Below are 1,158 nucleotides of genomic sequence, written 5' to 3'. Positions count from 1 at the left end.
AAAATCACAGATAAGAGGACTGTTTTAGTGTGACAGCACAGTAGGATGACTATAGTTAGCAATAATTTATTGTATATGTTCAAATAGCTAGAAGAGAGGATTTTGAATGTTTCCAATGTGAAGAAATGACAAATATTTGAGCTGCTGGATATGCTAATGACCCTGATTTGATCATTACACACTATATACGTGTATCAGAATATCACACTGCATCCCATAAATGTGTATGGGATTTAATTGACACATAATTATTATGTGTCAATTAAAATAATAAGTAAAAAAAGAATTCCCCTCTGTACACCAGTGACTCAAATGTGATATGAGTGGTTTCTCTCTAAGTTAGAATCCTTCCATTTCACCCACCAGTCAGTCAGTCAGTCAGTCATTTCTGACCTGCTGTCAGTTTCTCTGTCCAGCTGTGTGGTCTCAGGAAAGTCCCATTGCCTGTCAACGTTCTGGTTTCTTTTCTTTCAGAAGAGGAGGTTGAACTAGATAAGGCCCCATTATAGTGAAAACATTCAAAGCAAAGTAGGGATATCACAGTAGAAGAATCAGCTTTTAAGATTTCTATTGAGATTGGAATATGAAGTAAAAGCATTATCTTATAAAATCAGGAATTTAAAATGAACAATAAGGAAAGACTTCTAAAAAGTGAAAGTTCCAAAATACAGGATGAGACTGATTCCTAGAAGAGTAATTCGTATATGCGTGGGTCTTATTCTGGGTTCTCTATTCCATTGATTTGTGTGTGTATCCTTTTGCCAATATGAACTCTCTTGATTACTGTAGCCATATATTAAGTCTTCACATCAGGTGAAGTGATACCTCCTGCTTTATTCTTTCTCAAGATTCTTTTAGCTCTTCTAGGGCCTATGTCTTCCCGTGTATATTTCAGAATAAGCTTGTCTGTATCTACAAAAGATCTTACTAGAATTTAGATAGAAATGGCATTAATTGCAGATCAATTTAGGAAAAATTGACATCAGTACTGTGTTGAATCTTCCAATCGACGAACAGTATGTGTTCCATTTATGTAGGCGTTCTTTGACTTCTTTCATCAGCATTTTGTAATTTTCTTCAAACATATCCTGTGTTTGTCTTGTTAGGTTTATACCTGAGTATTTCATCTTCTTTGAAGAGACTTTAAATGATATTGTG

General features: G+C 34.7%; 1 annotated feature.

The window, feature by feature from the left end:
- Window positions 330-539: an enhancer, noted in NCBI's record as "active region_24150". NCBI's record gives its function as "activates an Ori minimal core promoter by ATAC-STARR-seq in GM12878 lymphoblastoid cells {active_cell/tissue: GM12878}" and the evidence as "EXISTENCE:reporter gene assay evidence [ECO:0000049][PMID:35858748]".

Source organism: Homo sapiens, chromosome 6 (assembly GCF_000001405.40).
Source record: "Homo sapiens chromosome 6, GRCh38.p14 Primary Assembly".
Classification (NCBI taxonomy): domain Eukaryota; kingdom Metazoa; phylum Chordata; class Mammalia; order Primates; family Hominidae; genus Homo; species Homo sapiens.
Note: the sequence above shows the minus strand (reverse complement) of the source record. Positions and strands in the feature narration are given on the sequence as shown.